Source organism: Homo sapiens, chromosome 9 (genome assembly GCF_000001405.40).
Source record: "Homo sapiens chromosome 9, GRCh38.p14 Primary Assembly".
NCBI lineage: Eukaryota > Metazoa > Chordata > Mammalia > Primates > Hominidae > Homo > Homo sapiens.
The window spans coordinates 37,672,231-37,693,332 of NC_000009.12; the positions used below are offsets into that span (position 1 = coordinate 37,672,231).

Below are 21,102 nucleotides of genomic sequence, written 5' to 3' on the forward strand. Positions count from 1 at the left end.
AAAGTCAGTTGGAGAAGCCAGCAGCAGGAAGGGTGTACCTGGCAATGAAACAGCACATGCAGAGGCTCCGTGCCATGAACAAAAAAGGAAGAGATCCACTAGGTCTGGAACCTCCTGGGAAGTGGAGAGCAGTAAGACAGAGGAAAGTGAAGAGGCTTGAGAGGGGGAGTGGGGCCTGCACAGGTAGGTCCTTGAAGTCCTGTAAATAATAACAGCAGGTACCACTTACGAAGGGCTTATCAAATGCCTGGTACTGTTGTAAGCTGTTTCCATGCATTACCTCATTAATTCTCACAACAACCTTATGAGGTAGGTACTGTTGTTACTGGCATCTTATAAGTGGGAAAACCAAAGCACAAAACTGTGAAGTAACCTGCCCATAGTCACAGATCTAGCAAGTGGCATGGCTGAGATATGAGCCTGTATTAGTCTGTTTTCACCCTGCTGATAAAGACATACCCGAGACTGGGAAGAAAAAGAGGTTTAATTGGACTTACAGTTCCACAGGCTGGGGAGGCCTCAGAATCATGGCAGGAGGCAAGAACCAAGAGAAAATAAGGAGGAAGCAAAAGTGGAAGCCCCCAATAAACCCATCAGATCTCATGAGACTTATTTACTATCATGAGACTAGCATAGGAAAGACCAGCCCCGTGATTAAATTACCTCCCTCTAGGTCCCTCCCAGAACATGTGGGAATTCTGGGAGATACAATTCAAGTTGAGATTTGAATGGGGACACAGCCAAACCATATCATTCTGCCCTTGGCCCCTCCAAATCTCATATCCTCACATTTCAAAACCAATCATGCCTTCCCAATAGTTCCCCAAAGTCTTAATTCATTTCAACATTAACCCAGAAGTCCACAATCCAAAGTCTCATCTGAGACAAGGCAAGTCCCTTCTGCCTATGAGCCTTTAAAATCAAAAGTAAGCTAGTTACTTCCTAGATACAATGGGGGTACATGTATTGGGTAAACACAGCCATTCCAAATGGGAGAAATTGGCCAAAACAAAGGTGTTACAGGGCCCATGCAAGTCCAAAATCCAGTGGAGCAGTCAAATTTTAAAGCTCCAAAATGATCTCCTTTGACTCCACATCTCACATGCAGGTCAAGCTGATGCAAGAGGTGGGTTCCCGTGGTCTTGGGCAGCTCCGCCCCTGTGGCTTTGCAGGGTACAGCCTCCCTCCCAGCTGCTTTCATGGGCTGGCGTTGAGTGTCTGCGGCTTTTCTAGGCTCCTGGTGCAAGCTGTTGGTGGATCTACCATTCTGGGGTCTGGAGGATGTTGGCCCTCTTCTCACAGCTCCAGTAGGCAGTGCCCCAGTAGGGACTGTGTATGGGGGCTCCCACCCCACATTTCCCTTCCGCACTACCCTAGCAGAAGTTCTCCATGAGGGCCCCACCCCTGCAGCAAACTTTTGCCTGGGCATCCAGGCATTTCCATACATCTTCTGAAATCTAGGCAAAGGTTCCCAAACCTCAATTCTTGACTTCTGTGCACCTGCAGTCTCAACACCACGTGGAAGCTGGCAAGGTTTGGGGTTTCCACCCTCTGAAGCCACAGCCCAAGCTGTACATTGGCCCCTTTCAGCCATGGCTGGAGCAGCTGGGACACAGGGCACCAAGTCCCTAGGCTGCACACAGCAGGGGCACCCTGTGCCTGGCCTATGAAACCACTTTTTCCTCCTGAGCCTCTGTGCCTGTGATGGAAGGTGCTGCCATGAAGGTCTCTGACATGGCCTGGAGACATTTTCCCTATTGTCTTGGGGATTAACATTAGGCTCCTTGCTACTTATGCAGATTTCTGAAGCTGGCTTGAATTTCTCCCAGAAAATGGGTTTTTCTTTTCTATTGCATCATCAGGCAGCAAATTTTCTGAACTTTTATACTCTGTTTCCCTTTTAAAACGGAATGCCTTTGACAGCACCCAAGTCACATTTTGAATGCTTTGCTGCTTAAAAATTTCTTCTGCCAGATAACCTAGATCATCCCTCTCAAGTTCAGAGTTCCACAAATCTCTAGGGCAGGGGCAAAATGCTGCCAGTCTCTTTGCTAAAACATAACAAGAGTCACCTTTGTTCCAGTTCTCGATAAGTTCCTCATCTCCGTCTGAGACCACCTCAGCCTGGACCTTATTGTTTATATTGCTATCAGCATTTCAGTCAAAGCCATTCAACAAGTCTCTAGGAGGTTCCGAACTTTCCCACATTTTCCTGCCTTCTTCTGAGCCCTCCAAACTGTTTCAACCTCTGCCTGTTACCCAGTTCTAAAGTCGCTTCCACATTTTGGGGTATCTTTTCAGCAACACCCCACTCTACTGGTACCAATTTACTGTATTAGTCTGTTTTCATGCTGCTGATAAAGACATACCTGAGACTCGGAAGAAAAAGAGGTTTAATTGGACTTACAGTTCCACATGGCTAGTGAGGCCTCAGAATCACAGTGGGAGGCGAAAGGCACTTCTTACCTGGTGGCGGCAAGAGCAAATGAGGAAGAAGCAAAAGTGGAAACCCCTGATAAACCCATCAGATCTTGTGAGACTTATTCACTATCATGAGAATAGCACAGGAAAGACTAGCCCCTATGATTCAGTTGCCTCTCCCTGGGTCCCTCCCAGAACATGTGGGAATTCTGGGAGATACATTCAAGTTGAGATCTAAACGAGGACCCAGCCAAACCAAACCATATCAGAGCCCAAGAGGTCTGGCTTTAGAATTCACACCATGGGCCCTAAAAAATGATCCTAAAAGTTATGGGGTGACATTATAGAGTTGTATACAGGAAAGTGACAAGGTCAAACTTTCATCTTTGAGAAAGATTACTCTGTGGTGTGTGGAATAGATTGGAAGAGGAGCAAGACTGAAGGCAGGGAGACCGGGTGCTACAATGATCCACGTAAGGAAGAGATCATGGTGGGGCACGGTGACTCATGCCTGTAATCTCAGCACTTTGGGAGGCTGAGGTGGTTGGATCACTCTAAGTCAGGAGTTTGAGACCAGCTTGGCCAACATGGTGAAACTCCATCTCCACTAAAAATATAAAAATGAATCGGAGTGGTGGCGCACACCAGTAATCCAGCTACTCGGGTGGCTGAGGCACAAGAATCGGTTGAAACTGGGAGATGGAGGTTGCGGAGAGGCGAGATCGTGCCACTGCACTCCAGCCTGGGTGACAGAGTGAGACTGTCTAAAAAAAAAAAAAAAAATACAAATCATGGTGGCCTGAATGTGTGTGATGGTGGTGGGGATAGAAAGAAGTGGAAACTTGAGAGATTGTTAAGGAGGTCACATTTACAGGAGTTGGAAAGTGGTTGGATATGGGGGGAGGGTACAAAGACTCTCAGGTGGATGCCTGGGTTCTGGGCTTGGGAAGTGGGGAGAGTAGGGTGTTTAATGGTGCTCATGATGTAGGTGCCACAGGTGTGTCCCAGCATGGGCTGGTGAGTGCCTGCACATGAGAGAATAGATTAGACCTCTGATCTGACCTCTCCACCAGTCAGAATTATGAACTTGGAGGTGGCAGGGGCCTTAGAATCCTTCTAGATCTAGAGATGGAAATGGAGGTATTAGAAGAAGAGACTTGCTGAGAGCCACACAGGGCGCAGTGCCAGGGCAAAACGAGGTGTGCACCTGCTGCTGCTCGAACTGGTGTGTGTTCACCTGTCCTGTTGCCACTCCCTGGAGAACCTTTGCTTCAACCTGTAAAGCTTTGATTCTCTTCTGAGAGATCATCTCTCTAATCCTTAAAAGAGGTATCATTGCTGCACAAACAGTAACAATGGGAATTAAAATAGAAACAAAAAGAATTGGCTGCCTAAACCCAGCATCCATCAGATCAAGCTTGTTTTGTGTTCTCGCCTGTCTGCGCTCCGCATCACTTTTACAGTTGTACCCAGAGCATAGATATGGCTTTATGGCCTGTGGTTTATACTCACATTAAATCCAGAAAAGGCTTTTTCTGGAATGTTACATGGTTTCTGGTTCTCATTTTTTGGAAATTCAAGGAAGAAGACATGCAGTAAGCATGCTTCTGTGGCCAGTTCTGTTTTTCGTTCCTAGAGCTCGTGTCTCGGGGAGCATCTTGCTGCATAGTGTTTTCCTGTTTTCCTTAGGCAGAACTCCCAGCCCTGATCATCTCTATGTACTTTTAAAGTGGGGTGACTCAAACTGGACACTTCTCTACTGAGGTTAGGGACAGAGGGCAGAATGCTTAATTAGGGCTGAATTTCTGAGTTCCTGGGTCCTGCGGTTTTCGGCGATCTCTGAATCGAGTTGGCATTCATTCACAGCTGTTGGTGCCACTCCTACTGGCTGCCACCTCCTAACAGCTGACCCGGCTCCCTGAATTGTTTGCTGTAAACTGGGCAGCCCTACAGGAGGGAGAAGAGGTTTCCGGATAGAATGCTTAATTAGGGCTTAATTAAGACAGCCAGAGTGGCCCGTTGGCCTGAACCCTTGCATAGGGTTCTGATTGGCAGGCGGCATCTGGCATTCTTGGCCGCCTGACAGCAATCAGCCGTTCCTAAGCCCCATGCAGAGATGAGCGAGACACACACTGCCCTGCTGTTGGCAGGAGCTCTTCCTAGACTCCCTATAGCATTTTAGACAGCCCGTTCTTATGGGCCCCACTCTCTGCCTTATATTGGTTAGGAGTTTTCTATGTGGCTTGTCTTCTCTATAACACGATGAACACCCAAAGGGCAAGGGCTGTGTCTGCTTAATCTTGATCTCCTCTACCACACTCAGCACAGATCCCAGAGGAAAGAGGATCTAATGGAACGAATTGCATTTACTTTTGGACCAAATCCCTTAATTTGAGATGGCTGCAGACCTGTAAAGTAGAGTCTAGAGTCCAGGGACTGGAATTGAAAAATGCAGAGTCTAGGGGCCCGCAAACCCATGGCCAGCAACAAGTCTATGAAAAGGGTGAGGACTTTCAGGGAAGGAACCTCAAAGTCAGGACAGAGCCTTGATGTCATAGTCATGGGCAAGAGTTCTGCGAGGCATGTCCTGGGCCCAGCCCTGCAAGCCATTCTTGGTTGCTTGTGCTGTGGTGGTGGTTGTTACTGTTTATTAGTATGATAGGTTTGTAATCCTGCCTTCCTTACCCAGACACAGAAATGTGGAGTCAAATCTCAGCCCACCAGGGTGGCAAGCAGCTTCATATGGGCTAGAACTCTGGGAGTCTAACCTTCTGAAATGAAGAATAACATCATAGCTGCTGTCATTGAGGACTTTCTTTGTGCCATGCATTCTGGTAGAACTTCACATATATTATCTAATTTACTGTGGGGCAGGTGAAGTCAGCCCCATTTCACAGATGACAGTACAGGCTCAGGGAGGCTAAGGGAACTTGTCCAAGGATGCAAGGTTAGCACAAGGTTAGTGAGAGTCGGGGTTGGAACTAGGACATGATAAGGCCTGTGCTGTTGACATGAAAGGTCACTGGGGAAGAACTGTGAGTCCAGTAGTGCACTGTGAAAGCTTGGAAGGAGGAATACCATGACGTGACCACCAAACAAGATCATCTGCCCATGAGAGTGCTTTGAAAACTACAGACCATGGTTCAAAAACCTTGCAACCTTTGCTCACATTGCTAGCAGATCACTTCCTTTCTTTTGCTTTGAATTCTGATTAGGTGTGTATGTGTCTGACTTCCCTGGTGAAATGCAGGCTCCTTGAGGGTGAGAATTGTGCCTGCTTATCTCAGTGTCCCCCACAGCCCCTGTACTTGGCAAATTGTTGATGATCATTGAGTGTTTCTTGAATCTGTGGATATTAGCATTGATTCAGAGAGGAAGAAATGGAAACAGGACCCATGGTGACATTTGTCCAGATGTGTCGTGGCTAAGCCCTTGGCTGGAGATTTGACTCAGAGAATTGGAAAGAAAGGGCAGAACCCTAGAGCTCTCTGGAGATATGTGTGGGAGATCTCAGAGTGAATAAAATTCTGCCTACCCATGACCTCCAGCTTCAAGGCATCGATGCTGATTCTATCTCTTTTCCCCTCTAGTACTTACCACTTTTTTTTTTTTTTTTTTTTTTTTTTTTAGATGGAGTCTCAATCTGTTGCCCAGGCTGGAGTGCAGTGGTGCAATCTCGGCTCACTGCAACCTCCACCTCCCAGGTTCAAGTGATTCTCCTTCCTCAGCCTCCCAAGTAGCTGGGATTACAGGCATGTGCCATCACGTCTGGCTAATTTTTGTATTTTTAGTAGAGATGGGGTTTCACCCTGTTGGCCAAGCTGGTCTCAAACTCCTGATCTCAAGTGATCCACCTACCTCAGCCTCCCAAAGTGCTGGGATTACAGGCACGAGCCACCACACCCGGCGTACTTACCACTTTCTAACAGTCTTAATTTCCTTTTTTGTTCATTGTTTCTTGTCTAGTGAGAACCTGTATTAGAATGTAAGCTCCACAAGAGTAGTGATTTTTGTCTTTTTTGCTCCTAATGACTCCCAAGACCTAGAACAGTGCCAGGCACATAGAGGATACTGAATAAATATCTATAGAATAAATGAAGGAAGTGAAGGTATCGCAAGACCTGGAGTCACTGCAGAGTCAGCTGCACCTCTGCCATCAAAACACTTTCCAGGAACCTAATGTTCTGTGTGAGCCTCCCAAGTCAGGGCAGGGCCCAGAATAGCCCCAGATAGACTGCACTTGGCCTGGGCCCTTAGCTTTTCCAAGTAGGCTACTCAGGCCCTGTGGTCCTCATCAGCCTTTTAGGGCCCAGCACAGGTGCTTCTGGCATGGAGAAGCCTCTAATCTCGGTGCTCCCCTGACCTAGAGGTGATCCCCCTTCTTCTGAGCCCCTCCCCTCCATGCAGCCCTCTCTCATGGTCTTGCCATCTACTGTGTGTTGGAGCTCCTGGTGGGCAGACACTGTGGTTGCATCTTCTTGCTCCCCACAGACATTGGCATAGGGCCAGATGTTTGTTGGGTGACAAACATCTTTTGAGAGAGCAGCAGTCTGCCCAAAACTGATAAGTCTGGTGGCCAGAAGCATTTGGGGAACTGTAGTTTGCTTAAAGAGAGTCAGAAACTTCTGATTTGAAAGGGCTTTGAGGTCATGTTTCTAACCCCATCACTTTTCTTTTTCTCCTTTTATGGCATTTGTTTTTGTAAAACACCTTTATTGAGATATAATTCATATACCATGCAATTTACTCATTCAAAGCATACAATTCAGAAGTTTTGGTATATTCACAGATATGTACTAACATCAGCATAGTCAACTTGAGAACATTTTCATCTCCTCTAAAAGAAGTCTTTTACTCTTTCACTATCACTCCTCCATGCCCTGTTTCCCCAACCCTAAGCAACCGCTAATCTCTTTTCTGTCTCTACAGAGTTCCCTACTGGACTTTCATATGAATGGGATCATAGAATATGTGGTCTTTTGTGACTGGCTCCTTTCAGGAAGCACAGTATTTTCAAATTTTATCCATATGTAACTCTTACCTTTACAGGTAGGAAAACAGACACGGAGGGAAGGGATGTGACTTGGGTCACATGTCCAGTTGGGAGCAGAGCAGGAACCTGATTGCTGGTCTCCTGTCTCCCTGCACAGTGCTCTTTCCCTGCACCAGGGTGGAGACAAGGGGTTCAGCAGCCGCAGCTGACTCAGCAGTGTCATTTGCCATCCATCACTGAGGCTGCTTGAGGGTAAGCAGTAAGACAGACATGGTGATGTGAGGCCTTACAGATCACATCAACACCACCAGTGTTGGCATTGGTGTTCGTTTCAGCCCTTTCCCACACCCTTTCTAGGGATACTGTTTATCTGGTAAAGTGGATGACTTGTGTGACCAACTTCCAGTCTTCTACTAGGAGTGGCCTGGGTCCCCATCCCCTCAGATCCCTAGCAAGAGAAAGGCACAGCCTGGATCCCTATTAGATCTGCCTGTTCCTGTTGCCACCCTGTAGCTCTCGAAGGGCCATGCAGAGACCATCTGTACTGAGCTAGATAAGAGGCTAAGCCCTTTCTAAGAGATGTCTAATCCTGTTAGGCAGATGGGAAATGTGAGGGGCATGACGATGCCCTGAACTAGTGTTCCCGAAGGCTTGTCTTTGTACCACACGACACTCAAGACTATCTTAGTGGATATGTGAATGAGTGCTTTTCGTTTAAATTGCTATATATTTATTTTAATGTGCACCAAGAAAAAAACATATCCAGCATGATCAAACCTGTGGTTGAATGAATACTGTTGTCTAGGATGAAGCTAAAACGAGAGGCACTGTATTATAGAATCTGTTTTACGCAGACCATGTTTTGCAGGTGTGGTGGTCTGGCAGTTTGTTGACATGGCAAAAGTCAGGAGGGCAGTTTGAGGTCAACCATCATTTGGGGAATGCCACCCTGGGGTGATGGGGGTCCAGGGTGCTTTCCCACCTCCTGCATCTCCTTTTCATCTGGTGTGCAAGGCAAGGTGAGATGGCAGAGGATGCAGGCAGCCAGAACTTCTTGACGTGAATGAAAGGCTCAGAGAACCTAGAGAACCAGCTGTGAGCATTGTTTTTTCTCTGGTCCATGATAAACCGCCTTTCAGGTATTCAATGCCCTTTTCTATAATAAAAAGAGGGGAGGGGTTCCTGTTGGAGAGAGAGACTTAAAGGAGGGAAGGGAAGATGGAGGAGGAAGAAGAATGATATGTAGTGCCATCCCAAAATAAGAAATGAAAAGAAACAATTTGGGCTGGGCACAGTGGCTCATGCCTGTAATCCCAGCACTTTGGGAAGCCAAGGCAGGTAGATCACTGGAGGCCAGGAGTTCGAGACCAGCTGGGGCAACATAGCAAGACCCCTGTCTCTACTAAAAATATAAGAAAACTAGCCAGGCGTGGTGGCACGTGCCTGTAATCCCCGCTACCCTGGAGGCTGAGGTGAGAGAATCACTTGAACCCAGGAGGCAGAGGCTTCAGTGAGCCAAGATGGGGCCACTGCACTCCAGCCTGGGAGACAAAGCCAGACTCTGTCTCAAAAAAAAAAAAAAAAAGAAAGAAAGAAAAGAAAAAAGAAAATAAACAATTGGCTTTATCTCAGCTTCTTATGGCCACAGGTGAAATGACGTGTGAGGTTAAAATATCAGGGCCTGTGTTACTGTGAAAGACTTGACTGAGATCCCTGAGTAGGGAAGAGAGGTTTGAAACTCCTTCCTGGGGTCCTGGTTGTAACTGCACTTTGAGGAATAATCATGTGGTCTAATAGATAAGTCCCCCTTCCTTCCTTTCTAAGAATGTCATTTTCCTGATAAAGTGTCATAGCAATCTGAATTCTTTTTAAGAAATTCATGCAGATGTGTGAGCCCATTATCACTCACTAAGCTATGATCACGGTAATGAACCAAGGCAACATCAAATGATTGACATTGGAAATGTAATGTGAACTTCCCTAAAATATCTGCCAATAACTTTTCCTTTGGGCTTAGAAGGTTCCATAGTTATAGCTGCTTATTGTTCTGGGGTTCTCATCTTAGCATAGCATTTCAGACATCTGTAACTTGCCATTATTAATTCAACAAATCTCGATTGAGCTGAAGGCATTCTGCTAGGCTCTGCAAGGATTGTAAAGAAACAGGGTACTTTTCTCCCCTACCCTCAAGGAGTTTACAATCTGAGGGACAGAAAACAAGACCTGAATCCATACGAAGTTAGAAAACACAAGACAAGAGCATAAAGGAGATGATCACAGGCTGTATGGAAGAGCAAGACTACACAGCAGCTCTGTGATTGGGGAACCTGGTGAAACATGGTAGGCGGGTGGCCAGGAACTCGTCCTAAATGTGGTGGGTTTGAGCTAAGTGTTGACAGTTACATAGGATTTGAATAAGTCCTAGAAAGTGGGAGAGATCAGAACAAAGACACAAGAAGGGCTACCTAGGGGCTTTTTTTGAGAGGCAGAGAAGCTTTGGAACAGAGAATTACTTGACAGGAGAAGAATGGGCCTTGGGTTCCCCTTGGCCAGTTTGAGGAAGTTTTTTAACCTCTCCAAGCCTCAATGTCTTGTCTTCCAAATGGAGTTATGGATTCCCACTATGTGGGGTTGTCATGAGGAGTGAATGAAATCTACAGGTGAAAATGTTAGTTTCCCTCCTTCCCCAAATTGATCAAGAGAGCAGTGTTTTGGGGGCAATAGTGGGAGATAGAGTTGGACATCCAGGAAGATGTTGGATTTTAGGGATGGGGATCCCTGGAAGACTTAAGTGACAAGATAATACAATTTTACAATTGGCAGATACTTAGAAAAATGCAATGTTAAGATAAAGGGTTAACCAGAGGCTTGACAACTTGTGCAATTCTAGGATTAATTAAAGGCAAAGCCAGGAAGGAAACCAGGTCTCCTAATATCTAGTTCAGTGCTCTTTTCAGCATTCCCTAGGTTTTATCTGGAGGGAGGTTAGAAATGCAAATTCTTGGGCCCTACCCTAGACCTCCTGAACCAGAAACTCTGTGGCTCAGACATCCATGCTTTAACCAGTCTTCCAGGTGCTTCTAATGCTTATAGGGTTTTACTAAGAAAAAATGGTGGAAAGGTGAGAAAAACAGATTCCTTACAGAGTTGGGGTTATTACTTACTGTCAAGGAAAGGAGGACAGAAGGGTGAAGCTGGGCACCAGAAATAAACATTTTTTCTTTTCTTTTTAAAATTAAGATACAATTCACATACCATCAAATTGACCCTTTAAATTATACGATTAGTGGTTTTTAGAATATTCACAAAATTGTGCAGCTATCACCACTGTCTAATTCTAGGACACTTTTATCACCTTAAAAAGACATCTCTTACCCATTAGCAGTCAGTTCCCATTTCCCTCCCCCACTGCCTTCGCAACCACTAATCAATTTTCTATCTCTATACATTTACCCGTTCTGGTCATTTCATATAAATGGAATCTGACATTTATATGAAATCATGTAGCCTTTTGTATCTGGCTTCTTTCACTTAGCATAATGCTTTCAAGGTTCATCCATGCTGTACCATGCATCAGGACCTCATTCCTTTTTGTGGCAGAAATAGACTTCTTCTACTTCAAACTTTTGCCACACACAAATTTGGTCACACAACTGAGCTCACACTACCTCAGAAAAAGAGATGTTTCTTGGGCATATTTCCGTAGAACTTTATAGTTTTCAAAGCATTGTCACAGCATAATGGAATGTAAGCCTTACACCAACCCTGACTGATAGGCTGGGCAGGGATCATTATCATTGTTTTTACAGATGAGAAAACAGACTGTAGAGGGGAGTGTTCTGTGCAAATCCAGTACACTACTGTGCCTGTTCATTGAAGTGTGAGTAGGAATTTGATGGGTGTGCAGGCAGGGAGTATGGACTAGGCAAAGGAACAGTATCTGCAGAGACACGAGGGCATGAGAAACCAAAGCCTTTGGGGGGAACAACAGGTAATACAGTTCTGCAGAGTGTTGTGCGAGGGAGATGAAGTTGGCGGGTAGGCAGGGCCAGATCACAAAAGGCTTTGGGGGGAATGACAGGTAAAACAGTTCTGCAGAGTGTTGTGTGAGGGAGATGAAGTTGGCGGGTAGGCAGGGCCAGATCACAAAAGGCTTTGGGGGGAACGACAGGTAATACAATTCTGCAGAGTGTTGTGTGGGGGAGATGAAGTTAGCAAGTAGGCAGGGCCAGATCACAAAAGGCTTTGGGGGGAACAACAGGTAATACAGTTCTGCAGAGTGTTGTGTGAGGGAGATGAAGTTGGTGGGTAGGCAGGGCCAGATCGCAAAAGGCTTTGCGGGGAACAACAGGTAATACAGTTCTGCAGAGTGTTGTGTGGGGGAGATAAAGTTGGCGGGTAGGCAGGGCCAGATCGCAAAAGGCTTTGGGGGGAACAACAGGTAATACAGTTCTGCAGAGTGTTGTGTGGGGGAGATGAAGTTGGCGGGTAGGCAGGGCCAGATCACAAAAGGCTTTGGCTGCCATCCCAAGGCTGGGGGGAGGCAGTGGGATGGAATGGCTGAGTCCAGCTTCAGAGACAAGCAAGCTAATCTGATTTTTAATTCCAGTTCTGCCACTTCTTTGCTGTGTGTGCTTAGCCAGGTGACTTAACTTCTTCATGCCTCAGTTTCCTTTTTTTGTAAATGAGAATTATTATAAGCATTAAATAAGATAACCTGTATACATTGCTTAGCTAGTGCATGGCACATAGTAAGTGGTAATGTTGTTAGCATAGTTGTGTTACTGATATTACTATAATTCTTGAGCTCAGACTTTATCCTAAAGATGAAGGGGAACCACTGGGGGATTTTTGAAAATAAAAGGGATGTGATTAGAATTACGTTTTATATCACTCTGGCAGTCACATGGAGGACAGATTGATGAAGAGTAAGGAGACTGGCTGGGGGTTATTGTAGCACGTCAGATAGAATGAAAGTTTGAACTCAGGCAGTAGCACTGAGAAAGGAGAGGAGATGAGAGATTAAGACAATTGGGACCAAGGTCAACAGAATTTGGTGACTGAATCAATGTGGGGCACAAAACAGGGAAAGAGTCAGTCATGATTCCCCAATTTTTTTTTATTTTTGAGACAGGGTCTTACTCTGTCACCCAGGCTACAGTGCAGTGGCATGGTCATGGCTCACTGCAGCCTCAACCTCCTGGGCTCAGGTGATCCTCCTACCTTAGCTTCCCGATTAGCTGGGATTACAGGTGTGCACCACCACGTTCAGCTAACTTTTTTTATTTTCAGTACACACAGGATTTCACTATGTTGCCCAGGCTGGTCTCAACTCCTGGGCTTAAGCAATCCTCCCTGCTCAGCCTCCCAAAGTGCTTGGATTACAGGCATGAGCCACCGCACCCAGCCAAGATGTCTTTCAAGAACAGTGTCTCAAGTAGCACTTGTAAAACTTTTACATCTCCCAGAGAGAAAGATAATGAACTTGAGTCAATACCTGAATAATGTGCTGCAAAATACATGAACATAATCTTTCTTTTTCAAATGATCATTCTCTTTTCCTTTTTTAAAACAAGTTTTAAGGATGATTCTTTAATCTTTGCAGTTTAAAAATTTGAGTTGATATGTGAAGAGTCTTCCTTGTGGCATACCTGAGAGTTGTATTTTGTGTTCTTTATTTTTGAAACATATTTTTCAGCTTAATAAATTTGCCTTTCGGCTGGGCGCAGTGGCTCACGCCTGTAATCCCAGCACTTTGGGAGGCCAAGGCGGGCGGATCACAAAGTCAGGAGATCGAGACTATCCTGGCTAACACGGTGAAACCCTGTCTCTACTAAAAATACAAAAAAAAAAAAAATTTAGCCGGGCGTGGTGGCGGGCGCCTGTAGTCCCAGCTACTCGGGAGGCTGAGGCAGGAGAATGGCGTGAACCCATGAGGCGGAGATTGCGGTGAGCCGAGATCTTGCCACTGCACTACAGCCTAGGCGAGAAAGCGAGACTCCGTCTCAAAAAAAAAAAAAATTTGCCTTCCATTTCTTTGGTTACAGTTTTGTGTGTTCCTTTTCCATTTTCTCCGCTAGCCCTATTATTTGTGAGTTGAAATCCTCAACTGATTCTGTGCCTGACAGTTTTTCTTGAAGTGCTCTCTAGTTTTATCTACAATTTCAATTTAGCGCAAGTGATTTTGGGCACTTTAGTTTCTTTTTTATCCTTTGCTGCCTCCACTGATGTTTTCATTTCTCAATAGCTTGTGCTAGTTTCCTGAAGTCTTTTATTATCACCTTTTGTATCCCTTTTGAAGGGTTTATAACCTTAATTGTCTGTTTGCATTTAAAATAGCTATCACCTTGACATATTTAGTCTTCTCCATTTACAAAATATTTTGAGAGAGTTTGCCTTTTTATATTCACATTGTTCCAGGCAACCAGAATTGTGTTCAATTTGAGGGTCCATGCCTTTTAAGATATTTTTCCAAGTTGATGTGTGCTCTAAAAAGATCTTGTATTACAAGGAACTGTTGAAGGAGCTGAGGATGTTTGATTTGGGGCAAAGGAGACTGAAAGGCTGAAAGATTTCTATGTTTGAATCCAGAAAAGAAGCTGATTTATTCTGGGCGGTGGTGGTAGGAGTGGCCAGAGGGCAGCATTGGTGTGGAGGACTCAAGCTGCAGACGAGTGGAATTCAGCTTTATGTAAAGAAACTTTCTAACAATAAGATGGGTCCAACAGGGAATGACAGAACATAAGAGGCCAGATGACTTCTTGGCAGTGGGACCGTAGAGAAGATTCAAACGTTTTGGATGATGTGGACATTTACTTCCTTCCATTAGCCCAGCAATCCAGAGGCTAACATTAAAACCATTAGCAGGTCATTCTCTTGACTTTAAACTCTCCTGCTCAGACCTTGCTGAGTCAGGGAGCACTTTTAATGGCTTGGTTGATGTAGGCATTTGTTTAGTCTTTGGGGATCCCTGGATGAAGGTACCTGCCTACTCACAGTCCAGATATATAACACAAATTAATTCTCTTAATTAGAACCATGTATGTTTATAGAAACCAATTAGCTAAATTATATTTGGCAGCAGTTTCTTAAAAAGTAACCACTGTAGTTTGAAGACCTTCAAAAGGCGTGGAAAGGCTCGATGGCCTTCAGTCCTATGGATATGTTCGAGATCCCTGACAACTCTGCAATCATGTGGAAACTATAAGAATGTAGAGGTCAGACATTGTGCCTCTTCCAGTGCTGTGCTTACTTCAGGATTTCCAACTACTCTAGGTAATGTGGGGCTTTGAATTTTGAGACAGACTGCAACAGATACCATCTTGCCTGGCTCTTAGATCTAGTGGAGACCTCAGATTGCATGAATGGAAGGAACTGTAGAAGTCATCTGCTCCATGTATTCCATGGATGTGTCCCTCTACGTCATCCTCGTGTCCCTTCTGCTATATTCATGCAGTTTATGCAGGCTCCCCTGGAATACCTTCAGCGTCCAAGATCTTAACAATTCTTGAGGAAACTCATTCCATGCTGGGATCTACCAGGAACATGAATTTCTTGCCTTAGTCTGAGCTGGAGTCCCCCACGCTGTGGCATTTCCCCGTTAATCCTGTCTCTAAATTCCAGAATCATGTGGAATATGTGTCTTCCACATGGTGGCCCTTAGGCTCTTTGTGAACCATGATCGTGTGGGCCACCCCCAAGTTTTTATTTAATAAACATTCTTTGATTTTTCAGTGTGTTTTCATATGACTTGCTTTTAAATCTCCTTTCCTAGACCCCATAGGAAAGCGTGATGCTCAGACATAAGACAGACCAAGTTAATATCAATATCCTAGAATTTCCAACGGACTCGATCCTAGAGGGGGCCCAACTGGGGCAGTTGATATTTGAAAACAATATCCCATGGCTTTTGCTAGACATTTGTTCTTCTGTCTTCTGTGTTTAGTCTCTGTTTTGTCAGGACACTATAACCTACATTCTTGATCCTCCATGGTAAGTCTCAAAGAAATATGATGTTATTTTGTGTTCTTGGCAAAGGAACATTAAATAATCCTTATTATAAAAGAGCTTTTACAAATTGGCGACAAGAAGGCAAACATTCCAGCAGAAAAATAAGGAAAAATCAGAAACAGTAAAGTAATAAGAAGTAAATATAAATGGCCAAGAGCACATGAAAAATGTTGAGCTGTGCTAGTAATCAAATAACTTCCAATCACAGCTGTGATGAGTTCTGATCTGGAAAGATATACAGGATACATTTGCAGGTTAAAAAATACAAAGTGCAGACTACTGAGTATAACATTCTATTTTTGTAGAAAAGATGTATTAATATACATGATATAGGTCTCTATTAATTCAGGACAAAGATAGTATGAATACATACCAAATTGTTAACTGTGTTAACCTCTAGGGGAATGAGTTGGATGCTTGAAGTAGGATGCTTATTTTATGTAATTTTCAATGTGATGGATTTATGTGTGATATTTAATTTTTAAAATATTTTCCTATATATACAAGAAATATATTTTTATATGGGAAACATATATACAAGTATATACATTTCCTATTTACAAATATATATTTAATTATATATAAATATATATTTAAGCCAATAATTGAATGCTACTTTCAATCCCATTAACAAATATTTTAACAAATGACAATGTCTAGTTTTTATAAGAATATGGAGGATAATTTACTTTTGTCTTCTGTATTTTTCAAAATATAAATCTTTAAGTCAATAATTTCCATCCTACTGGCAAATTTTTTTTAAGTGATAATATTCAAAAGGTCTGTCCTGGCAGGAGTGCAAATTGGTAACTTCTTGGAGGCAATTTGACAATATACATCCAAATTCTTAAAAGTGAACATATGTTTATGTCCAATAATTTCACTTCTAGGAATTTATCCCCCCAAAAATATCTGGGAAGTAGCCATTTGCCATGAATAAAGATTTTTATTGTAAAGCTTTCATAATAGTGAGAAATTGGAAACATCACAAATGTCCAATGATAGATTTATTAAATAAATTATGGTATGATCAGAGAAAATAATACCATATAACCATTTTAAATGATGGTGTAAATGCTTAAATATTAATATGCAATGATGTTTATGAAATCATAAGTGGGAAGATGTAATTTTAATTAAGAAACATCTATACATGTGTAAGCATAAAAAATGATGAAAAATTAACTTGCTAATTGGGAGGTAGTGATTGTAGCTAATTGTAAGTGATTTTATTTTCATTATATTTTTCTGTGTATGTTATTAGAAGAATATATTCCTTCGGTTTTTAAAACTAAGTTAAACATTATTAAAAATCATTTAATAAAATAGTATTAAGGGTTTATAATAGAAATCAGCATTTCCTGCCCCACTCCTCCTCACCCTTGAATTTCTCTTCTTAGAAGCTCTTTCAACTCTTCTAGCCATTTCCTCTGGTATTTTCCTGCATATTTCTTAGAAATATGCTTGCATTCTTATTTTCTAATGTATTAATTTTGGACATTATCTAATTATTATGATAAATGAGGATTTAGCTCTTAGGCTACTGCACTTGCTTCCCTTCACCATATCGTTCCAATATCATTACATCACTGTCCTTTAGAAACCATTTTTCAGTGTTTACATTATCATGACAATGTAAATATTGTTCATTGTTGAGCCAAGCAGTGAACTATAATTTTATTTTCTTATACAACTTTTTATTTTCCTTGGATTTCATAATTCCCTCTGTTTTTGATCTGCTTAGTTTTTCATGTACTTATTGCTAATTCTCCCATACCCTCCAACAGCCTCTCAGTGAAATTTTCTACACAAACACATCAGATAACTTATCCATTTCTATTTCTTTTCCCTAAGACCTCTGTCTTCATGCATCTCAACAGTTGCTCTCTAGGTCTTTTATACAGGTGTTACCTTAATGCATGCCTTCACAGTCATCCGTGATGCTTATTTTGCCTCTTATCTATATTCCATTCCTAATATGCTGGATCTCATTTCTTTTGTCCTTACTTCCTTGTTTTGGAGGAGCACATCCTCTGTCAGCATCCTGAGAAAGGATGTGTGAAAGGTAAATTTTTAGAGACCTGAACATCTAAAAATGTCTTTTGTACTTGATTGGTAGTTTGATAGGGTATCGAATTCTAGACTGGGAATGCTTTTCCCTAAAAAATTTGAGAACTTCAATGGCTCCCAGCTTCCATTGTTATTACTGAGAAGTTTAGTGCCATTTTTAATTTCATTTGTTTGTATGTAATCTTTTTTTTTCCTCTCTGGAAGTTTAGAAGATATTTTCTGTTTCTAGTTTCTGAAATTTTACAATGTTGTTACTTGATGTGGGTCTTTTTTCATTCACTAGGGTGGGCAATTAGTATATATTCTTAATTTGAAAATTTAAGTTCTTCAAGAAATTTTTATTGAATTATTTGGCAGTTTCCTTACCTCCATTTCCTTTATTTTCTACTTCTGGAACTTCTGTTAGATGAATATTACACTTCCTGGACAGGTACTGTACACTTATTGTCTTTTATGTTTTCTCTGTCTTTGGCTTTGGTTACTCTTCCTACAGTCTTTCATTGACTTTATTTTTCTGTTTTTATTAATAATTGAATTTTTTATTCTAGCTGCCTTATTTTTAATTTCCAAATGTTCGTTCTTATTCTCTGATAGTTTATTTTTAAAAAATCCTCTTCTTGTTTCATGAATATAATACTTTATCTTTTTGAAGATTTAAGTTATAGATTGAAATTTTTTTTCTTCTGTTTTCTACATTGTCTCTGTTTCTTCTGAATTTTTCTGTTTGTTTTGGTCTGTTTTTTATAATGCATGCTTTCCTTAGATATTTATTGATAAGTAAGAGTAAAGCAGTAAAACAAATAATTGGAAACTTTGTATGATGGGTCTGGCTCATTGATTAATACATTTCAATGCAAGATGATCTGGCAGCAAGTTACCTTTTCCCTGCAGGGATCCCGAAAATGTCAATATCTGAAGGTCTTTTCTCTGGTGCTATTCAGTCCTCCAGAGAAGGATTCTCTAATCTTTTGCTTGGGACATGTCTTAGTCTGTTTTGTGTTGCTATATAATATCACAGACTGGGTAATTTATGAAGAAAAGAAATTTATTTCTCACAATTCTGGAGGCTGGAAAGTCTAATATTGAGGTGCTGGTATCTGGTAAGGGCCTTCTTGCTGTATCATCCCATGGAAGAAGGTGGAAGGGCAAAAGAGCACACAAGAGAGTGTGGAAAGAGGCCAAAGTTATCCTTTTATCAGGAACTCACACCCACAGTAATGGCATTAATTCATTCATGAGGACACAGCCTGCATGACCTAATCACCTCTTATAAGTTTCACCTCTCAACTCTGTTGCAATGGAAATTAAGTTTTCAACACATGAACTTCAGGAACACATTCAAACCATAGCAGGATATAAAGTACTCGCTGACAGTATTCAGAGAACTGGGCACAGGAAGAGGTCTTGTCATTCAGTTAGAAGAGTTTTACTTACTTCTTCTATTTTAATTCCTGTACCGTCTATTGTGCCTAGTCTCCCCAAGCTTCTCTTGTTCGTTTTCTCCAGAAAATAAGCCTCTTATCTTCAGTAGGATGGGAAAGAGATAGTTGTCTAGGTAGGTATTTCCATATTTTCAACCTTATGCTCATCCTTGCTTTCTCCTGTACTTACTGCCCCTAATTCCTGAGCCACTGGGCAAATCAGCACCCCTAGATTGGATCATGGTACAGAAAAAGCACATTAGTGAAAAACTGGTAAAATTTGAACATAGTCTATAGTTCAGTTAATAATATCGTACCAATGTTAATTTCTTAATTTTTACAAAGGTAAAATAATTATGTAAGATGTTAATATTAGGGAAAGCTGAATGAAGGGATATGGGAACCCTATATTATCTTTGCAAACTTTTTATACATCTAAAAGTGTTCCAAGATAATTTTTTTAAAAGAATAAGACAGTCTGGGTGTGGTGGCTCATGCCTATAATCCCAGCACTTTGGGAGGCCAAGGCGGGCAGATCACTTGAGGTCAGGCGTTCAAGACCAGCCTGGCCAACATGGTGAAACCCCATCTCTACTAAAAATACAAAAATTAGCCAGGTGCAGAGGCATGTGCCTGTAGTCCCAGCTACTCGGGAGGCTGAGGAGGCAGGAGAATAACTTGAACCCGGGAGGTGGAGGTTGCTGTGAGCCAAGATCGTGCCACTGCACTCCAGCCTGGGTGACAGAGCGAGACTCCATCTCAAAAAAGAAAAGAAAAGAAAAGAAAAGAAACTCTGGAAGGACAAATGGAAAACAAGAGCAGTGATTATGTATGGGCATGGGAACTGGGTGGGTAGGAGCAAGGAAGGATATAAGACAGACTTTTCACTGTCTACATATTTTTTATTATGATAAGAACACTTGAGATCTACCCTCTTAAATTTTTAAGCACACAATACAGTAACTATCTTTTTTATAAGCTAGTGTTGAATTATGTAAGTGAAATACTTATTCAAAAATTAAGTATAAAAGATTGAACAAAAGCAGCAGCGCTCAGAGGAATCTGCACAATGTGATGAAGAATGCTTCCATGTCCATGGGGTTCCTGATGCAGGCAAAACTGAACCGCATTGTCCAGGGTTGCACACATAGTTGGGAGAGGGAAGGACGGTGTCACATGGTAAGGTGTATCTCTTCCTATGGGTCACAGTCACAAAGTTTGAGAAACGTTATCTATTTTACTCTCTCATCCTTATGTTTAACTGTTTAAGATACAAACCCAGTCTGTTTGCTGCAAGATTGAGGGTTGCTAAAGTTGTTCACTCTGTGAACATTGAGCACCTGTTTATGTTGATTTTAGACTAAGGGAGAACACTAGTTATTCGATTAGCATGTCTTATAATGGGCAAATAAAGGAAGCATCGTCCTGATTTATCAAAATCCTCTTTAGAGTATTTTGGTTAGCATCTTAAGAACACTCTTCTTCCTTTTAGGTAAATGGAAGAGCTGGAGACCAGTTTATTCCAGACACGGAAAGCACATAGAATAGAACAAATGGTGGCAAGATGGCTTCGGCGCTCCCGGGACAGCTCGGCCCGGTAAGCCTCCTGAGTTTGCAGATTTCTGTCTATAAAGGTCTGGTGTCCCGGGGGAGGAGCTTGTGCTGGTCCTGGCCGCACCTTGGGATTGCTGTCTCCGGCTTGCTTTGTTCTTACACCATATGGTGGGAGCAGTGTAAACAGGTCAGCAATTTTGCTGGAGTGCTTTTCCCTGTACCCTACCCCCAACATGTACCTACACACACACAGAGACACCCCAACTCACACACACTTACAACATTTACAAACACACTGACACACAGACATACACACAGAAATACACTCATACATACTCATACGCACATGCATATACACTCTCTGGAGCACACACTCATACATACACTCTTTTGATCTCTCTCTGACACACACACAGACACACACACACATAGAGACACACACCTCTTGTCTTAGTACTTGACATGAAGGTCAGGTAATCTGCCGTTTATATTCTTTCTGTGTCTTCTGTGTCTTTCTGTGTCTTCGTTTCCAGCAGCTGTTCCTTCCTTGCAGTCCCTATGTCATTCTAAACAAAATAAAATGAAATCAAATACAGATCTGATTTGACTGCTACAGGAGAACTTTCAAATATG

The 21,102-nt window shown here is 42.5% G+C and overlaps 1 protein-coding gene across 8 annotated transcripts in view; it reads left to right on the top strand.

Moving 5' to 3' along the window:
* The window catches only part of FRMPD1 (FERM and PDZ domain containing 1), a 143,676-nt gene that overhangs the window by 69,002 nt on the left and 53,572 nt on the right, over window positions 1-21,102 (top strand). For all 8 annotated transcript variants that reach the window (XR_929220.3, NM_001371224.1, NM_001371225.1 and 5 more), the window contains one exon: window positions 20,408-20,512. Coding sequence is in view for 7 of the 8 variants with exons in the window: in NM_001371224.1 (NP_001358153.1) it covers window positions 20,412-20,512 (101 nt within the window). In the remaining variant the exon portion in view is untranslated. The remainder of the gene's footprint in view (window positions 1-20,407; window positions 20,513-21,102) is intronic.